The 17,758-nt window shown below is 43.6% G+C and overlaps 1 protein-coding gene across 7 annotated transcripts in view, besides 2 other annotated features; it reads right to left on the bottom strand.

Moving 5' to 3' along the window:
• The window catches only part of PRKCH (protein kinase C eta), a 363,509-nt gene that overhangs the window by 164,185 nt on the left and 181,566 nt on the right, over positions 1 to 17,758 (bottom strand). Inside the window, exon 1 of one of the 7 annotated variants that reach the window (XM_011536954.4) lies at positions 237 to 8,553. The exons of the other annotated variants lie outside the window; for them this stretch is intronic. Coding sequence (XP_011535256.1) covers positions 237 to 362 — 126 coding nt within the window. The 5' untranslated portion in view covers positions 363 to 8,553. Of the gene's footprint in view, positions 1 to 236; positions 8,554 to 17,758 lie in introns of those variants that run through there. 7 annotated transcript variants of the gene reach the window in all.
• Positions 13,553 to 13,602: an enhancer, noted in NCBI's record as "active region_8489". NCBI's record gives its function as "activates an Ori minimal core promoter by ATAC-STARR-seq in GM12878 lymphoblastoid cells {active_cell/tissue: GM12878}" and the evidence as "EXISTENCE:reporter gene assay evidence [ECO:0000049][PMID:35858748]".
• Positions 14,303 to 14,362: an enhancer, noted in NCBI's record as "active region_8488". NCBI's record gives its function as "activates an Ori minimal core promoter by ATAC-STARR-seq in GM12878 lymphoblastoid cells {active_cell/tissue: GM12878}" and the evidence as "EXISTENCE:reporter gene assay evidence [ECO:0000049][PMID:35858748]".

The raw sequence follows: 17,758 nt of genomic DNA, 5'->3' as shown, positions 1-17,758 counted from the left end.
CTAACATCCGTGCTATCCCCTGCCGTCTGCCTCCCTGCCTCCCACCAGCACTGAAACAGCTCCAGCAACTTTTATGAAGTCCTACTGTCAGATACAAAGATGTGTCTGTCTTCATCTCAGTTGATCTCTCTGCCGCATCTGATCTTGACATCTTCCTCTTCATGAATCTCTCATTCCTTACTTCCAGGACACCACCCTTTCCTGGCCCTCCTCTCACTCCTGAGCCCTGTATTTACCCAGTAGGCCACGCCAGAAGCCCAGCTCCTCAGCAGGTACATTGAATCGCTCTCAGATCCCAACACGTCCACTCTCGAAGTCTCTCCTGGATCTACCCCTGCTCCACTCCTACTGCCGTGGTTCATCTGGCCTCCCTGAACGGGCTTCTAGCTGCCTTCTATTTCCAGACTACTGTCCTCCAGCTGCTGCCAGTGACATGTTTCAAAAATTAAAATCTGACCATGTGGCTTCCTAACTTAGAAACCGTCAGTGTTTCCTCTCCTGTCCATGATAAGGTCCAAATTCTTTAGCACAGCACATAGCCCTAGACACTAAACCCCTTCCTACCTTTCAGCCTAAGCTCTTCCCACCACTGCAGCTGCATACAACCAGTATCCCCATCTCTTAATTCTTGTACACTCTCCAGGGAGGTATGTTATTTCATTTATTCTGAGAGAGCAACCAAACGCATTATGGATCAAGCAGCATACTGGGGAATATAGTCAAAATTATGAAAATTACACATTACCCATCTGTAGCTTATTGCCTAGTGATTTGGGGTATGTGATCTTTCTGGCTGGAAACTCCTTTCTTCCTTTTTATACTTGTCCAACTCCTATTTGTCCATCAATTCAAGACCCACCTGTATAGGGGGACCTTTCCAGACCTCTTTCAGACAGGTGGGCAACTCCACACCTGTTATGAAGACTACTGCTGGAACCCACATCATGTTGTAGTCATTATGCCCTGTCCCCAAAGGAGACCCTACCTTGCATATAAGGGGACAGAAAATGGTTTGTGGAACAAATGAGTAAATAAAATAGACCTGGGTATCTCAAACTCTCAGCAACTTCATGTAGGACATGATTTTCTCCTCCTTCACCATTCTAGTCAGTTTCCTCCTGACATGCCCCAATTTCTTCACACCCCCATTAAAGGGTGAAGTCAGGCTGAGTGTGTGACCTGACTTTCACCAGCAAGAGCAAGATTATCATTAACGTTGATCTTGACAGTGACAGTGCCCTTTACCAATGCAGCGAGAATACATGGGCGCTCTGAGAAGCCCCAGTGACCCAGGCTGAGCTTGCAATGAACTAAAACCTCTGCATCTTTTCTAGCTGCCATAAGGCTTTGCTTCCCACATCCTGTGCTCGTGCAGTGGTTAGGCTCAAAACCTTCATAAAAACCTAAGTGCTTCATTTTTTTTTTCTGCAATATTTTGGCTTGTCCCAGGTCATAGCGTTCACTGGATCGCAAATCCAGTCAGTTCATTCACTCCCCTTCTCAGTTTTATGGCTCCCCAAATCAGGGCCTCAGGCTACCTATGTCATTGGCTAATGCACTGACAGAGTGTCTAATAGAACAGAGCTGAGGTCAGAGTCTAGGGCAGCCCCACATAGAAATGAACACACTTAGCATTCTTACTATAACAGTCATTCAAGGAGCAATAAACACACTAACCCCCTCCCCTACAGACCACTTCTCTTGGTAAAAAGAACAACTCCTGGGCCCTTGTTGAAACCCAGATAACAGTGGTCTTTAAAAAAATGTGATTCTTCTATACAAATAGACAAATGAACAAAAGTATAAAAACTCAGTGTCAACAAATGGTGCTAGAACAACGGGACATCCATACCCAAAATAATGAATTTCAACCCATACATTGTAACTTACACCTAAATTTACTCAAAACAGCTCAGAGAAGAAAACATAAACACAACTTCAGCCTTTAGGGTTCTCTATGTTGTTTCTACTACTCTGTTCTACACTTTTGAGTCCCCGAAGTGGACTGAAAATATCCTATGCCTGGTTTGCAGCAGCCACTCGGGAAAGCATTTCTTGACTGAATGATTCCCAACGTGCACCCTCAGAGCCATCTAACCCTTGAGTTCTCATGCCAAGTAACCCCTTCCTCAAAGAGCCATCAGTGTTGAACTCACATGAATCAGCGCTGCCTCAAATACTATACCTCCCCATCTGAACTTATCCCCTATCTCCCACATTGTGGCTGAGTAATAGCAATGCTAGAGAAGACCTGGGTCCTGGTGCTCTGTCCTGACCAATCTGCGACATCAGGAAGGCCATTCAATCTTCTTTGCCAAAGAATCACAGAAAGGGATTAAATATAAGATTCCCAGACCCCACAGGTGATCTACTGATTTTAAATTTTCTGGGGCAAGGGAACGGGGTCTAGGCATCTGCTGTTTTTAAAAGTTCTGTAGGTAACTCTGATATAGCCAGACCACGGACCACCATCTGGGAAGCCTGAGCCAGATTCTCTCTAAGGGGCCAATTCCAGCTTTAAAGGGCTCCAATCCCATGTTTCCTCCTAAAGCTTCCAGTGGTCATCACTGAATCACTAGAACCACTGTTCTTCTGCGTTCCCAGGCTTAAAATCCTGGAGCCACTCCGACTTGAGGCACCGTGACCATCTGTTTTTCCCTTCGTTCCCTCCATCATTCTAGGATCCCTGTCACTGCAGGCCTCCTCCCTCATCCTTTCTCCTGCAGTCATGGAACACCCCACCAAAAACAAAGCAGCCTTTTCTAAAGTGCTGATCTCATCAACTTCCCCCTCTAAAGCCTCCGCTGGTCTCCGAGAGTCTTCAGAATAAAACACCCTGCTCCACCTGGCTTTCAGGACCACTTGGGCTCCCCTTTTGCTGCCTTCCCACTAATCTATCCAAACTTTGTTTTCAAAATTCCCTTCCTTCCATTGTCACTTTAGAAAGTTAAAATACAAAAAGAAGAAAAAAATCACTTTTTAAAACCTGCTGTCCTAGTCAGGCCCCTCTCCTGGCTCTATCACTCAGCCACACATTTGCTCATGCCGTGTTCTCTGCTTGGAAAACCTGTCTCTCTTCACCGCACCTATCTATTCATTCATTTGAACCTTTATTGAATGACTCCCAGGGTCGGGACAACTGCAAGGTACTCAAGACTCCCCAGAGGAGCTCCTAGGGCTACAGGTTGGATGGGTTACCGAGCACAGAAGATGACACAGCTTCATGAGCAGCAGAAGGAAGAAACTGGTGCCAGGATTTGATATTCACATTGATCCCTCCGGTCTCAAAATTCACATCTCAACTATTATTAACACTTATCTATACCTTGAACAATTACTTACATTTTCATACACATATCTCATCACTTGCAATAAGTCTGTAACCTCCATTCCAGCAGGATCTGACATTATGTTCCCAAGGAGCCTCGCAGAGTTCCTTGAACCAAGTAAACACTCAATACATATCTGCTGAGTTGATCTAAGAGCTAAATAAGGTCATCTGACCACCTCAATTTCCTCACCTATAAAAATAGGAAAGGTAATATTTACTATAGAATAGTCCTACAAGATAGCACTTTGTAAAAAATAAAAGCACTCCAAGATGGCTCCAAGGAATACCGGTGACATATGGATGACAAGGGCTCACTGCTTAGAAATTATACTCTGTTAGCTTGATGTACCCACCGGATCCCCAGCACAGCCACTCCTACACCCTCAGCCAAAGTTTGCTTTTCCTTGGCATCACTTTGCAGGAGTTAGGCAAGTACTTATATCACTGGTTAAGTCTCCTTGTCCATGAAACAAGAGTTGTCTAAAAATATTCTAGCTGTAATGTTCCATGATTCTAAACAGGCTTGGATAAAAGCCTACACAAAGGACTCAAGAGAAACACTCATTTAATTAACTGGTAATAATTTACAACCATTTCCCTTCACAAAAGCCATTAGAATTGATCACAGACAGGAAACTTCTAGCTACATAACATTCATTTCAGCCTGGAATAAGCAAAGGGATCTAGCATATTAAAAGAAAAAAGCAATTTTGGGGGCAAAGGTAGAAGGTTCATCTAGACTCTATGGGCTTTGAGCAAACCTCTGTAATAGAGAAGTTGACAAAATTCAAATTCTTGGCTGGATGGCTCTTTTCTATAGCTTTCCTAAGTCTTACTCTAGCGATAAATAACAAAAACATGATAAAGCATTTCATGATTCTCTTCCACCTGAAACTGTCTGGCTTAAAAATGAGCATTCAAATTCCTAAAGAAAAAAAATTCCAACAGGTTTGTATGAATAACCTAACAGGAAAAATGAGATTGTATTGGTTTTTCTTGTTTTTTTTTGTTTGTTTTTGTTTTTTTGTTTTGAGACAGAGTCTGGCTCTGTCACCCAGGCTAGAGTGCAGTGGCACAATCACAGCTCACTGAAACCTCCATCTCCTGGGCTCAAGCCAACCTCTCAACTAAGCCTCCAGTGTAGCTGGGATTATGGGTGTACACCACCACGCCCAGCTAATTTTTGTATTTTTTGTAGAGATAGGTCTCATTATGTTGCCCAGGCTGGTGTCGAACTCCTGAGCTCCAGTGATCCACCTGCCTCAGCCTCCCAAAGTGCTAAAATTACTGGTGTGAGCCACTGTGCCTGGCTGAGGCTGTGTTTCTAATAACAAAAACAACAGCTATGTCTTTAGCTTGGCCAACTGCTAAATGCTTGACCTATATTATCTCTCACCTCCACCGCTTGCAGAGTGAAGTACTACCATCACCGTTGCACAGATGGAAAAAGGGAGGCTCAGTGAGGTTACTGAATTGGGTGAGGTCACACAAACAGCGAAGGTCAAGCCAACATTCAGATGCTGGGAAGATGCCACGCTGGTGCCGCACCAGCCTCCCTTGAGGCTGCTCTGACTGCTTCTGCCTGAGGTCCATCTGTTGCTTTCTCTCAGCCTCAAGCATGCCTGCCCTGGCTTCTGGCACATGAGGTCATCACACCACTCATTCCCCTGGGAGCCTGGGCAAGACTCGTGCCACTAGCACCTGAGGGTGCTCTCGCCTCACCTCCTCACTGCCAAGGCCACTGGGAGTGGCACCAGCCTGATGTGCCGCTGGATGGTTCTCAATGAGGGCCCGAGGCGGGAGCTGCTAAGCAAGTCTGTGCTGGGGCAGGGAAAATGCAGCAGGCAGTTTAGGTGCCGTTAGTCAGCTGCCTGGAGAGTCCGAGTCAGCATCACATGCTGCAGACACACAAGGTATCCCCCCGACATGGGAAGGGGTTTAAAGGAAAAGAAGTTGCAATAGGCAAATACTACATCCCTGCTAATTTTCTACTTTCATCTCTATAACAATGACACTAGGTGTTATGTGTTAAAGCATACTAAGAGGTATTACAGATTAAAAACTTCCAGAAAACAATGATGGCAAAAACTGAACAGAAAAGTAGTATCAAATCTGACTGGTTTCAAATGAAGGAAAACACTGTCATTACTTTACTGATTAAAGCCTTTACTGGTCCACCCTTTACCCTGCTCAATCCGGATCCTATGTGAGGTCAGAGAGCAGGTTGGAAAAGAGCCCCAGGCCATGATCACAACTCTGACATTGCCTACCTGCCACTAGGGGAAGTCACCTGGCTTCGGCATCTCAAAAACAGAGTAGACTAAGCCTGTCAATCCTTTTCTATCTGATATTCTAAGGTTCCAAGTCCTAAACAGTTTCTGAACTTTGTACAGGGCAAGTAGACATCTGAAGACTACTAAAGAAACTCTCTAAAATACATCCTTATGGCTCGCAATATTTCTCCCCTCCCAGCTGAACAGACCCACATGGTTGCTATAAATTTAAACTTAGAATTACTTCAAGTCAGATCCCAGTACCCCCAGGTTCTAGCATAGGAAGTGTTATCATCTGGCAAAAGTAAAACTCTTTTACATTGAAATTAATTTTTCAAAGTTTTTCTGCCCGTAGTAAAAAATCACAAACAGTCAAAACTATTTTTTCTCTAACAAGGAGATAGCTCAAGGTAGAAATGGTCTACTGTGTGCTCTAGTGTTATGTGTGTGTCTCAATCTTTGATTCCAATATCTGAAGAATCGAAAATGTAAATTAAATGAAGGATGCCTTAGGATCTTCAAAATACTCCACTGCAATTCCTCCCACTTAAATTCCCAGGTAATGTAATTCTGTGCTGGAAGGCCTACCTGATACCTCCTCTGTGAATGAGGACAGAGGCTCTGAAGAGACCAAGCCCAGCCCATCAGGTCCAAAGCTTCTGGTGCTCCTAATGGACCAAAAGGAGTGGGGTGAGTTCTCCTGAAGAAGTCAAATGTCCTCTCTGGAAACCAGGAGAGGACTCTTGGTATAGCACCAGGATGCCAGGCAAGACTCTGCTCTCCAGAACTAAGAAGGGGTTGGCTGCAGTGGCTCACACCTGAAATCCCAACACTTTGGGAGGCCAAGGCACACCTGAAATCCCAACACTTTGGGAGGCCAAGGCAGGAGGATCACTTGAGTCCAGGAGTTCAAGATTAGTCTGCGCAACACAGGGAGATCTCATCTCTATAAAAAATAAAAAATAGCCAGGTGTGGTGGCATGCACCTGTAGTCCCAGCTGCTTGGGAGGTTGAGGTGGGAGGATCACTTGAGCCTGGGAGGTCAAGGCTGCAATGAACCACGATTCCAACACTGCACCCCGGAGAGCCCAGGTGACAAAGTGAAACCCCATAATAAAACAAAACAAAACAAAACAAAAAAGAACTAAGAAGGTACTTTTCTTCTCCTCTGATAAGACGTCCCTAGGGACCTCATGGCAAAGGAGACCCTGGAGTAAGAAAGAGGAACCACAGAAGAGTAATTGTGCATCCCCTCCACACCGTGTGTCCCCTACATGAAAGAACACATCAAAAAAGCACTTTCCACATGAGCTCGCCACTCCTCGTTTCTGCTAAGTAGACCCTTCCAGAAAGGGAGCATACGTTCTCCTTACTAGGAAGAGGTACTAAACAGAAGTGACAGGTGTGACCCTGGCTGGAGATGGGGAATATACTCCCTGCAGCCTCACAGCCCCCTTCTTTCTTTCACACCTCTCTGGGTTGCCTAGAGACAGTGGTCATCGGCCCCACAAGTGAGCCTCCTTCTTTGCAGGGGAACCCCCACAAGAAAGGAAAAATGTCTTAACACACTGAAGATACCAGGTTAAAAACAAGATATAAACTAACCGAGAATAATTCTACATTGTTGATTCTCATCATCCATTGTAATGGAGGAAGAAGGCAAAAGCTCCAGCAAAACCAAAACAAGAACTCAAAACTACATATTTAGCATACATAAGCATTTCAAGATGTTTTAGAGACTTGTTTGCTTAATTATTCATTGCTCAGTCTGCAGGGAAACTTTGGAAGACTCTGAATCTGAGGAGGCATTAGAAAATAGATGAAGCCTATATCTCTATCCCAACAGTTATTCTATGATAACACCTTTACTCCTCTTGGTCTTCTGGAGGGAAGGAGACGAAAGCTCCACAAAAGAGGGAACGTTTGTACAATGCCTAGAAATTCAGGTGATGGTTTTCCAAGTGGACCTGGGGAGGGGGGGCATCTACACAGAGACGGGGAGTGTGCAAATGCACAGAAGATGTATAGGGGTTACAGATGATCAAATGTAAGCTGTGTAAATGAGACAAGTCAGAAATAGGACTGCAGAGGAAAGTGCATCCAATCAATAATGGCCTCACGACATGCTGGCAGGCTGGTCCTTATCCCAGGGCAATGGGGAGCCACTGAGGGGTTTCAATCAGGAAAGTTACAAGGTCATACCTACATGTCAGATCCCGATACATAACTGTTGGGATTATAAGAGGAGAGAAGCTGGTGGTGGGAATTCATGTTCAAGGCAAGTCCAATGGTCTGAGTGAAAGACAGTGGTGACCTGAGCTAAGGCAGCAGTAGAAGGGATGGAGAGGAGAGGGCAGATAGGAGAAAGACATAGGAGGGAGCAGCAGCTGGACTTTTCGTAACTGATGCAGGTAGGGTGGAGGTGAAAGAGAAGGAGTCAGAATCACAAGGCAATGATGATCCCTGGTGCCATTAACTGAGACAGGGACTCCAAGGGGGAAGCAGAACTGGAGGAAAGACAAAGAGTTCAATGTATGACCTTTACCTATGACATCTGAGCATCTACTGGGCTGTCCTTAACAGCTTCTGAAAATTCAGATGGAGAGGGAGGAACACCACAAATTACAACCCAATGCGGTCTCAACTGAATAGGTCAGTGGCAACATCAAAAGCACTATTCAGTGCTGGGTGTGGCGGCTCACATCTGTAATCTCAGTATTTTGGGAGGCCAAGATAGGAAGATCACTTGAGGCCAGAGCTCCAGAACAGCCTAAGCAACAAAATAAGACCCCATCTCTATAAAAAAAATTAGCCAGATGTGGTGGTACATGCTTGTAATCCCAGCTACTTGGGAGGCTGAAACAGGAGGATCACCTGAGCCCTGGAGTTGGAGGCTGCAGTGATCACACCACTTCATTCCAGCCTAAGTGACAGAGAGAGATGCTGTCTCAAAAAAAAAAAAAGAAAAAGAAAAAGAAAAAAAAAGCCCTAGGAGAGGAGCAATCACTGGGCTAGGGCGAAGCTTTACCTGGGAAGTGAGACCCTGAATTGAGGCCTGAAGGCAAGTTTCAATTAGTGGGAAGTGAGACCATTCTGAGTCAGGAGCAACCTGTGAGAAGTGATAGAACTAATATCAGAACACACACTTGATCAGTGTCATTGGAGGAATGTCCATACAGGAGTAAGAGAGAAGGCTGGAGGCAAAACACAGAAAGAGCTACACCCAGAGAACTGTAACCTTAGATTGCAGGCCAAGGGGAGCCACTAGAGGTTTTTGATTATGTAAAATGATAGAGATTAACATGTAAAAGGAAGATTTTGTCTACTAGATGAATGAATAGACAGACAGCTATGGTCTAGAAGTATGAATGGTTTGCTAAGGGTGAAATCAGTGAAAATTAATAATCATGTGAAGAGAGCAAACAAAAGCAGTGGAAAGGCCAAAGGAGTATGGAGTTTGGGGCCTGGGTATCCTAGATCAGGGTCAGCAAACAGCAGCCCAAAGGCCAATGCCAGCTGCTGCCTATTTTGATAAGTAAAGTTTTACTGAAACACAGTCACAACCCTTTAGTTACATATTATCTACAAGATGAGTAGCTGTGATTGAGACCTTATGGCCCATGAAGACAAAAATATTACTCTCTGGCCCTTTACAGAAAGATCTGCCCATCTCTGTTGCCACTAATCAGCCAGGGAACTCAGGGAAAGAACATGTTTTAAAGGGAAAGAAATGAGTTTAAATTTGGACACAAAAGTACTCAAATAGAAATATCTGGCAAGATGTTGGAAATAAAGACAAATCATGTAGTTAAACATACGGCTGGGGTTATCATTTGGGAATTTTTCTCAAAAGGTAAACACTAAGTCTAAGAGCAGTGAAATTTTTCAAGAAAGAGCACAGGAAAAGAAGAAAAGAAAAAGCAAATTCACTAAAGGAGTGAAAGAAAGAACCAGAGAAAATACAATCTGAGAGGTGGGAGGAGTCCCCAAGTTTAGCATCATGGGACATGGAAACAAGCAGCTTCAAAAGAGAGGAGAAGCCAAATGTGCAGATATGGAAGATGAGGTCTTTAAAGGGGAGATGACAGTAGATGACCTGGGAGATGACAGGTAGACTTCTTCCATGATACCCACCCCATCATTAGCAATTCTGTTGGAAAGGTCATCCTTACATTAAGCTAAAGACAATCTATATCCCCATAACTTCCACCTGCAAATTTCATTACACCTCTAAAATTTACCCTGCCAACATGGGGAAAGAGACAGATGTGGAAAACAGCACAGAAGCTGCAAGGAATACATGGTTTAATTAAATTGTATCTCATTTAAGTGAATTAGAAGGTAAAGCTAGAAATTAGAAGGTAAAGCTAGAAATGCAATGGACGAAAGGTTTGGATGCCAAGTTAAGAACTGAAATTTCATTTCAAATAATTAGGCTAGCAACAGTCCTAAAACAACATGCTGGAGGACAAACTAGAGGGGTGTAGATGGGGCTGGAGGTGCTGGGCAGAATTAAGAGACTGTCTCAGTGGTACAAGTGTGCAGTGGAGGAGGCAGGAGAGAAGTATTACAAAAGAAGCTCAGCAGGACTTGGTGGCTAAGGATAAGGGATGATGAAAAGCCCAAAGGCAGCTGTAGTATCTGGAAGACGGTAAGACTAAATCTGCAAGAAGTAAGGCAATCTAGAGGGTCAGTTGGTTTGGGATGACTCTGGTTTTTAAAAATACTGATTTGTAGGGAGATTAGAAATGTGTGACAAAAAGATAAATGGGACCTGAAACTTAAAATAAAGGGCTGGGCTGCAGGTAGAGTCATCCACACAGGAATAACTGAACCACAAGACAGCTGACTGACCCTCAAGGAACAATTGTACAGTTCAAAGAGCAAAGAATCAAGGACCAAAGCCATGTTTAGAGAATGAGAGAAAGCAGAACCAGCAAAACAGAAAGAAGGGTGTTGGGAAAGGCACGCTGGCTACCCTGAGCAGACCTTCACAACCACCTTCTGAGTAAGGAAAAGTAAAGCAGCATTATCTCCATTATATTGCACAGTCATCTGGAGACTGAATTAGGTTTGGATTATTAAAATCCCATTAAAGGCCTTGAGTACCACACCCACCACACTGTGAATAAAATCTTAATGTATTTATGAGCTTTTTTTTTTTTTTTTTGAGACAGAATTTCACTCTTGTTGCCCAGGCTGGAGTGCAGTGGCATGATCTTGGCTCACTGCAACCTCTACCTCCCGGGTTCAAGTGATTCTCCTGCCTCAGCCTCCCAAGTAGCTGAGTTTTTAATAAACCTGGCTAATGAATATTTGCCACACAAGCCTTCAAAATATTCACCTGTCTCATTCTCTCACTTCTTATAAAATCAATTTTTGCCCGTGGTATGGTTTGGCTCTGTGTTCACACCTAAATCTCATCTCGAATTGTAATCCAGTCATGTTGGGGAAGGGGCCTGCTGGGAGGTGACTGAATCATGGAGGCAGACTTCCCCTTTGCTGTTCTCATGATAGTCAGTGAGTTCTCACGAGATCTGGTTGTTTGAAAGTGTGTGGCACTTCCCCCTTCACTCTCTCTCTCTCTGCTCTGCCATGATAAGACGTGCTTGCTTCCCCCTCACCTCCTAGCCATGCTGTTGTACAGCCTGCAGAAATCTGAGTCAATTAAACCTATTTTCTTCATGAATTACCCAGTCTCACGTAGTTCTGTATAACAGTGTGAGAATAGACTAATACAGAAAATTGGTACCAAGAGTGGGGTACTGCTATAAAGATATCTGAAAAGTATGGTAGCAACTTTGGAAATGGGTAACAGGTAGAGGTTGGAACAGTTTGGAGGGCTCAGAAGACAGGGAGATATGGGAAAGCTTGTAACTTCCTAGTATTTGTTCAATGGTTGAGACCAAAATGCTGATAGCGATATGGACAATGAAGTCCAAGCTGAGGTGGTCTCAGATGGAGACTGAGGAACTTACTGGACTGGAGTAAAGGTCACTCTTCCTATGTTTTAGCAAAGAGACTGGTGGCATTTGGCCCTGCCCTAGAGATCTGTGGAACTCTAAACTTGAGAGAGATAATTTAGGGTAACTGGCAGTAGAAATTCCTCACCAGCAAAGCATTCAAGATGTGGCCTGGCTGTTTCTCAAAGTGTACACTCATATGAGTGAAGAAAGGGATGGTGTGAAATTGGAACTTACATTTAAAAGGGAAGCACAGCATACAAGTTTGGAAAATTTGCAGTACAACCATGCAGTAGAAAAGAAAAACCCATTTTCTGGGGAGAAATTCAAGCCAGCTGCAGGAATTTGCATCAGCAACAAGGAGCCAAATGTTAATAGGCAAGATAATGGGAAGATCTCCAGGGCATTTCCAAGATCTTCACAGTACCCCTTCTCATCACAGACTGGGAGGCCTAGAAGAGAAAAATTGTTCTGGGGGCCAAGCCTAGGGCCCTCACTGCTCTGTACAGCCTTGAGACCTGACATCCTGTGTCCCAGCCACTCCAGCTTCAACCATGGCTAAAAGGGGCCAATGTACAGCTCGGGCTGTGGCTTCAGAGGGTGCAAGCCTCAAGCCTTGGCAACTTCTATATAGTGTTGGGCCTGTGGGTGTACAGAAGGCAAGAGTTGAGGTTTAGGAGCCTCCACCTAGATTTCAGAAGAGGTATGGAAACATCTGGACGTCCAGGCAGAAGTCTGCTGCAGGGATGGAGCCCTCATGGTGAACCTCTATGAGGGCACTGCAAAGGGGAAATGTGGGGCTGAAACCCCCACACAGAGTCCCCATTGGGGCACTACCTAGTGGAGCTGTGGGAAGACAGACATTGTCCTCCAGACCCCAGAATGGTAGATCCACTGACAGCTTGCATCTTGCACCTGGAAAAGCCACAGGCACTCAACGCCACGAAAGCAGTCGCAGGGGCTGTACCCTGCATAGGCACAGAGTAGAACTGCCCAAGACATTCGGAGCCCACCCCTTGCATCGGTGTGCCCTGGATGTGAGACATGGAGTCAAAGGAGATTACTTTGGAGCTTTAAGATTTAATGACTACCCTGCTGGGTTTTGGACTTGCATGGGGCCTGTAGCCCCATTGTTTTGGCCAATTTCTCCCTTTTGCAGTGGGAGCATTTACCCAATGCCTGTACCCCCATTGCATCTTAGAAGTAACTAACTTGTTTTTGATTTTACAGGCTCATAGGTGGAAGGGACTTGCCTTTGTCTCAGATGAGACTTTGGATTGCGGACTCATTAATGCTGCAATGAGTTCATACTTTGGTGGACAGGCCAAGCATGGTGGCTCATGCCTGTAATCCCAGCACTTTGGGAGGCCAAGGCAGGCAGATCACTTGAGGTCAGAAGTTTGCGACCAGCCTGGCCAACATGGCAAAATCCCATCTCTACTAAAAATACAAAAAAATTAGCTGGGCATGGTGGCGCATGCCTGTAGTCCCAACTACTCAGGAGGCTGAGGCAGAAGAATTGCTTGAACCTGCGAGGCAGAGGTTTCAGTGAGCCAAGATCACACCACTGCACTCCAGCCTGGGTGACAGACTGATGCTCTGTCTCAAAAACAAAAACAAAAACGAAGACTTTGGGGGACTGTTGGGAAGGGCATAATTGGTTGAGAAGGACATGAGATTTGGGAGGGGCCAGGGGCGGAATGATATGGTCTGGCTCTGTGTCCCCACTCATCTCAAATTGTAACTCCACCTGTCAGGGGAGGGGCTGCTGGGAAGTTATTGAATCATGGAAGCAGACTTCCCCCTTGCTGTTCTCATGATAGTGAGTTCTCATGACATCTGGTTGGTTGAAAGTGTGTGGCACTTTCCCCTTTACTCTCCCTTTCTCTTTCTACCCTGCTCCGTCATGCTGCTTGCTTCCCCTTTGCCTTCCACCATGATTATAAGTTTCCTGAGGCCTCCCAGTCATGCTTCTGTACAGCCTGTGGAACTGTGAGTCCATTAAACCTCTTTCTTCATAGATTACCCAGTCTCAAGTAGTTCTTTATAGCAGTGTGAGAACAGACTAATACAGCCAGTTCTTGGGAACCAGATTCACAGCCACAGCTACAACCCAACTAGTTCTTCAGCCCGGTGACAGCCTGAGAGCATTTTCTGAACATCAGGTAAAATTAAAAACCAGACTGGTTTCAGATGCAACTGAAGGACTCTCTCAGCAGGTGCAACTGGCAGGACTGTCTCTCAGATGCAACTGGCAGGACTCTCTCAGCAGGACTGTTAAGCCAAATGATGAGTTGAGGCCTATCAGAGAATTTTTTTTAGGGCAGTGAAATTGTTCTCTATGATACTATAATGGTAGACAGAGAACACTAAGCATTTGTTAAAACCCATAGAACTTTATAGCACACAGAACTTGAATATATGCAATTTAAAAAGTTAGGGTATCAAGAGATCCTGGGGTGGAATATGAAATGCAGACTATGACATGAGAATCAACTGTATCAAAATGCATGAAATAACCTCACTGAAAGAAGTGAGGGAAAAGATGCTGGCTTAAGGACCTTCAGAAATGAGTATGGACTCTAGATCTAAGGGCAAAATGAATTTTACATAACGAATTTCACATAACCACTGAACTCTAGCCAATAAAGTTCTTTCTCATAAGGGATACAAGTTAACAATTCTGAAACCACTATACATGTAAGTAAATGGATGGTGGGTGGTAGGAACCAGTTTTTCACTGTTAGAGCAGGAGTTTGCAGACAAGGGAGAAAGGCTAGTAAAAAAAGGTCTGTAACACTGTATCGGAGTTGAAAACATTAGCATGAACTCATGTTCAACTTAATATAGATACAGATGGATACATATAGAAATATTTACAGATATGTGTATATACAAGGGTGAGTATACACCTATTTCTCTGTTCCGTCAGCTGAACAGACCTAAAAGCAATGACACCTCAGTAGCAACAAGGACACGCAGTGCCCAGAACTTGGTTTCTAAAACCATTCTCCAACAAAAGGAACCAGGGTCCCTGGAGAAATAACTGATTCTAGGGATGGGGCAAAGAATATACAAAGTGAGCCAGGGGCATCTTTTAGTGCCAGAAAGAATAAGGATGTGATTTTAAAAAGCACACATGCAACAACAAAAACCCACCAGGATGGGTGGCATGTCACAAAGGGACACAGGAGCCTATTGAAACAGCTCCCAAAAACCAAATCTGAAACAATTTGAGGAGCACAATCATGTGATATTAGATTATAACCTAAAATATAAAATATGCATGAGTCCATACTGATACAAATAAATGATAGAATAAATAAATGGGGGAGAATAGACAAATCTCCCAAGCAGAGGAATTCCCAATAATTTCTCTAAATACTACCTCCCTCAGGGAGGTAGAGCATAATTCTCCACAACTAAAGTGTGAGCTATGTACAGTGACTTCCTTCCCAAGAGTACAGTATGGAAAGAAGGGGAAGAGGAACTTTATGTGAGAAATCTGACAAACATAATTTTAGCCATGCAATCAAGGTTCACATCAACAGTGATAGGTCGTTTTGATAGCATGTATGCATGTAAAAGCTAATTATGCAATTGATATGACATGATGGAATGAAATGTGGTACTATGCCTGCCTGTGTGGTCTTCCTCCCAAAACCCTTGAACCACAGGAAAAACATTAGACAAACCCAATTTGAAGGACATTCTATAAAATACCTGACGAGGACTTGTCAAGCTGTCAAGCTCACCAAAACCAAGGAAAGTCTGAGAAACTGTCACAGACTAGAAGAACCTAAGCAGACATATAAACATGATGTGGTATCTTGAATGGGATCCTAACACAGAAATGGAACAGTAGGTAAAATCTAAGGAAATCTGATAAACTATGAAGTTTAATTAGTAATAATGTATCATTATTGATTCATTAGCTGTGACAATGTAGCATACTAACCTAAGACATTAATAATACAGAAAACTGACTGTTGGGTATATGGGAATTCTCTGCACTATCTTCACAGTTTCTCTGTAATACTAAAACTGTTCTAAAATGTTTATTCAAGAAAATGCTTTTAAATAAAAACTGCCTTCACTGAGCCCTAAATCCAGGTAACTCTTAAAGAAATTAAATTCTAAATTAGTAACTGATTACTACAGGTGATAAATTTGGTTATTCACTAAATAGATGAAAAGAGAGCCAGAGGCAGCAGTGCAAAAGAATATCTGGCCTTTCTAGACTGTGTATGTAACATTCCCATGTTAACGTTAAGTCATCCCCTGTCCCAACTGTCTCCAGCTGGCCAGTGTCACAGCACATCCCATTTTGCGCTAGTTTCCATACTGCAGTGTTTGGTGTTATCCACACCCCTGGAGAAGACCCACAGTGAGAACCCCAAGAGTTTTCTATGAGTACTCCTATCTGCAAATTGTTTTCAGACAAGCTGTTGGTAAAGTATCTTCTCTTCAACTAAAAACAGAAGTAGAAGACAGAAATACAGAGAGCGAAGAAAGAGAAAAAAATCAGCTACAAACTACTTCCAATGAACATCTAACATAATGAGTACTTTCTGGAGCTAAGACTGACTAATATGAATGATATTGTGCCCATTACACTCTGATTTCAGGAAAAGTTGCAGAAAATCTGAACAGGAACTCCTCATCCAAAAATGGATACAAAGATTTGGAGCAGGTTTAATACAGATTGGGCCTTTCATTTTTCTACCCAGTGCTAAACCTCTCCCACCTCTCGTGGGTCAGAATTTCCTGATACACTTATTACAAATGCAGGCCCCACCCCCAGGCCTAGCAAACTGGCATCGCACTTAACAAACTCCAGGTGACTCCAGTAAAGTTGGGCAACCACTGTAGTTTGCCTTCACTGTTCTCATCACCACCTCATCCCTTCGCTTTTTCTCCAACAACCAAAGAAAGTATATTGTTTATGTATTAGGGTTCTCAGTTTTTAAAAGAACACACATGGCCGGGTGCGGTGGCTCACGCCTGTAATCCCAACGCTTTGGGAGGCCGAGGCAGGCGGATCACTTGAGGTCAGGAGTTCGAGGCAGCCTGAGCAACATGGTGAAACCTTGTCTCTACTAAAAATACAAAAATTAGCCAGGTGTGGTGATGGGCGCCTGTAATCCCAATTACTTGGGAGGCTGAGACAGGAGAATCGCTTGAACCTGGGAGGCGGAGATCACGCCACTGCACTCCAACCTGGGTGACAGAGCAAGACTCTGTCTCAAAAAGAAATAAAAATAAAAATAAAAAACCATACATACACACATATATATACACATATAAACATACAGATATATGCATATGTATTACTGCTTGTAGATACTATCTATGCATCAATAGTTTAAAAATAAAGTTCTGTTTTTTACCAAGAACTTTCTGTCACTTTCTTCCCAATTTTTTCTTTCCAATCCTTTGGTTAGTTGCTATTAATAATATAATTCTTCTGGGGAATCTACTCCCATAACTAATGCATTAAACAGTCAAAACATGTAATACTTTAGAGTTGATTCGAAAGACAAATGTCCAAGAAAAGAACACTGACTGCAATCATATTTCTCAATATATACTACATTCCACAAAACAGTCAGTATACAGGAACTTATATTGTGTAAACATGTAAAATCAGAATGGGGAAAATGAAATAGGAAATCAAGGCTGGGAAAAGTTAAGATGTAACTGTTAAAATTTTCTTAAAGTTGAGCTACAAATTTGAATCTGAATTTCTGACGCGAAGCAAAGCAAACAAAAAGAAAACCAGGTTCACAAACAAGGTTCACGATAAACCCTAATGAAACCACACCAATTTCTCAGGAGAAGAGACTTCAAAGCCCTTAGGTCTAAAGAAATGTCTCTAATGCAGAGGTTCTCAAAGTGTGATCCCCAAGACCAGCAGCATAAGTATCCCCTGGGAACTTGTTAGAAATGCAGTCAGGGACTGAAACAGAATCTGGGCATGGGGGTCCAGCAAGCTGTTTTAACAAACCCTCCCGGTGATACTGATGCAAGCTACACCTTGAGAACCACTGCTTTAGTGGGTCTTCACACAGCATCCACTGAAAGTGGTTACAAACCTGCTCAAAAGTATTCCAACAATCAGCCAATGGTGTATTTTGCATACCAAGTTCTAATAACGTTCTTCAGGGCAAAGAGGGTAAAGGAGATTTACA

This window comes from Homo sapiens, chromosome 14 (assembly GCF_000001405.40).
Source record: "Homo sapiens chromosome 14, GRCh38.p14 Primary Assembly".
NCBI classification, from domain to species: domain Eukaryota; kingdom Metazoa; phylum Chordata; class Mammalia; order Primates; family Hominidae; genus Homo; species Homo sapiens.
The sequence above is the reverse complement of the archived record's forward strand: the minus strand, read 5'-3'. Positions and strand labels throughout refer to the sequence as shown.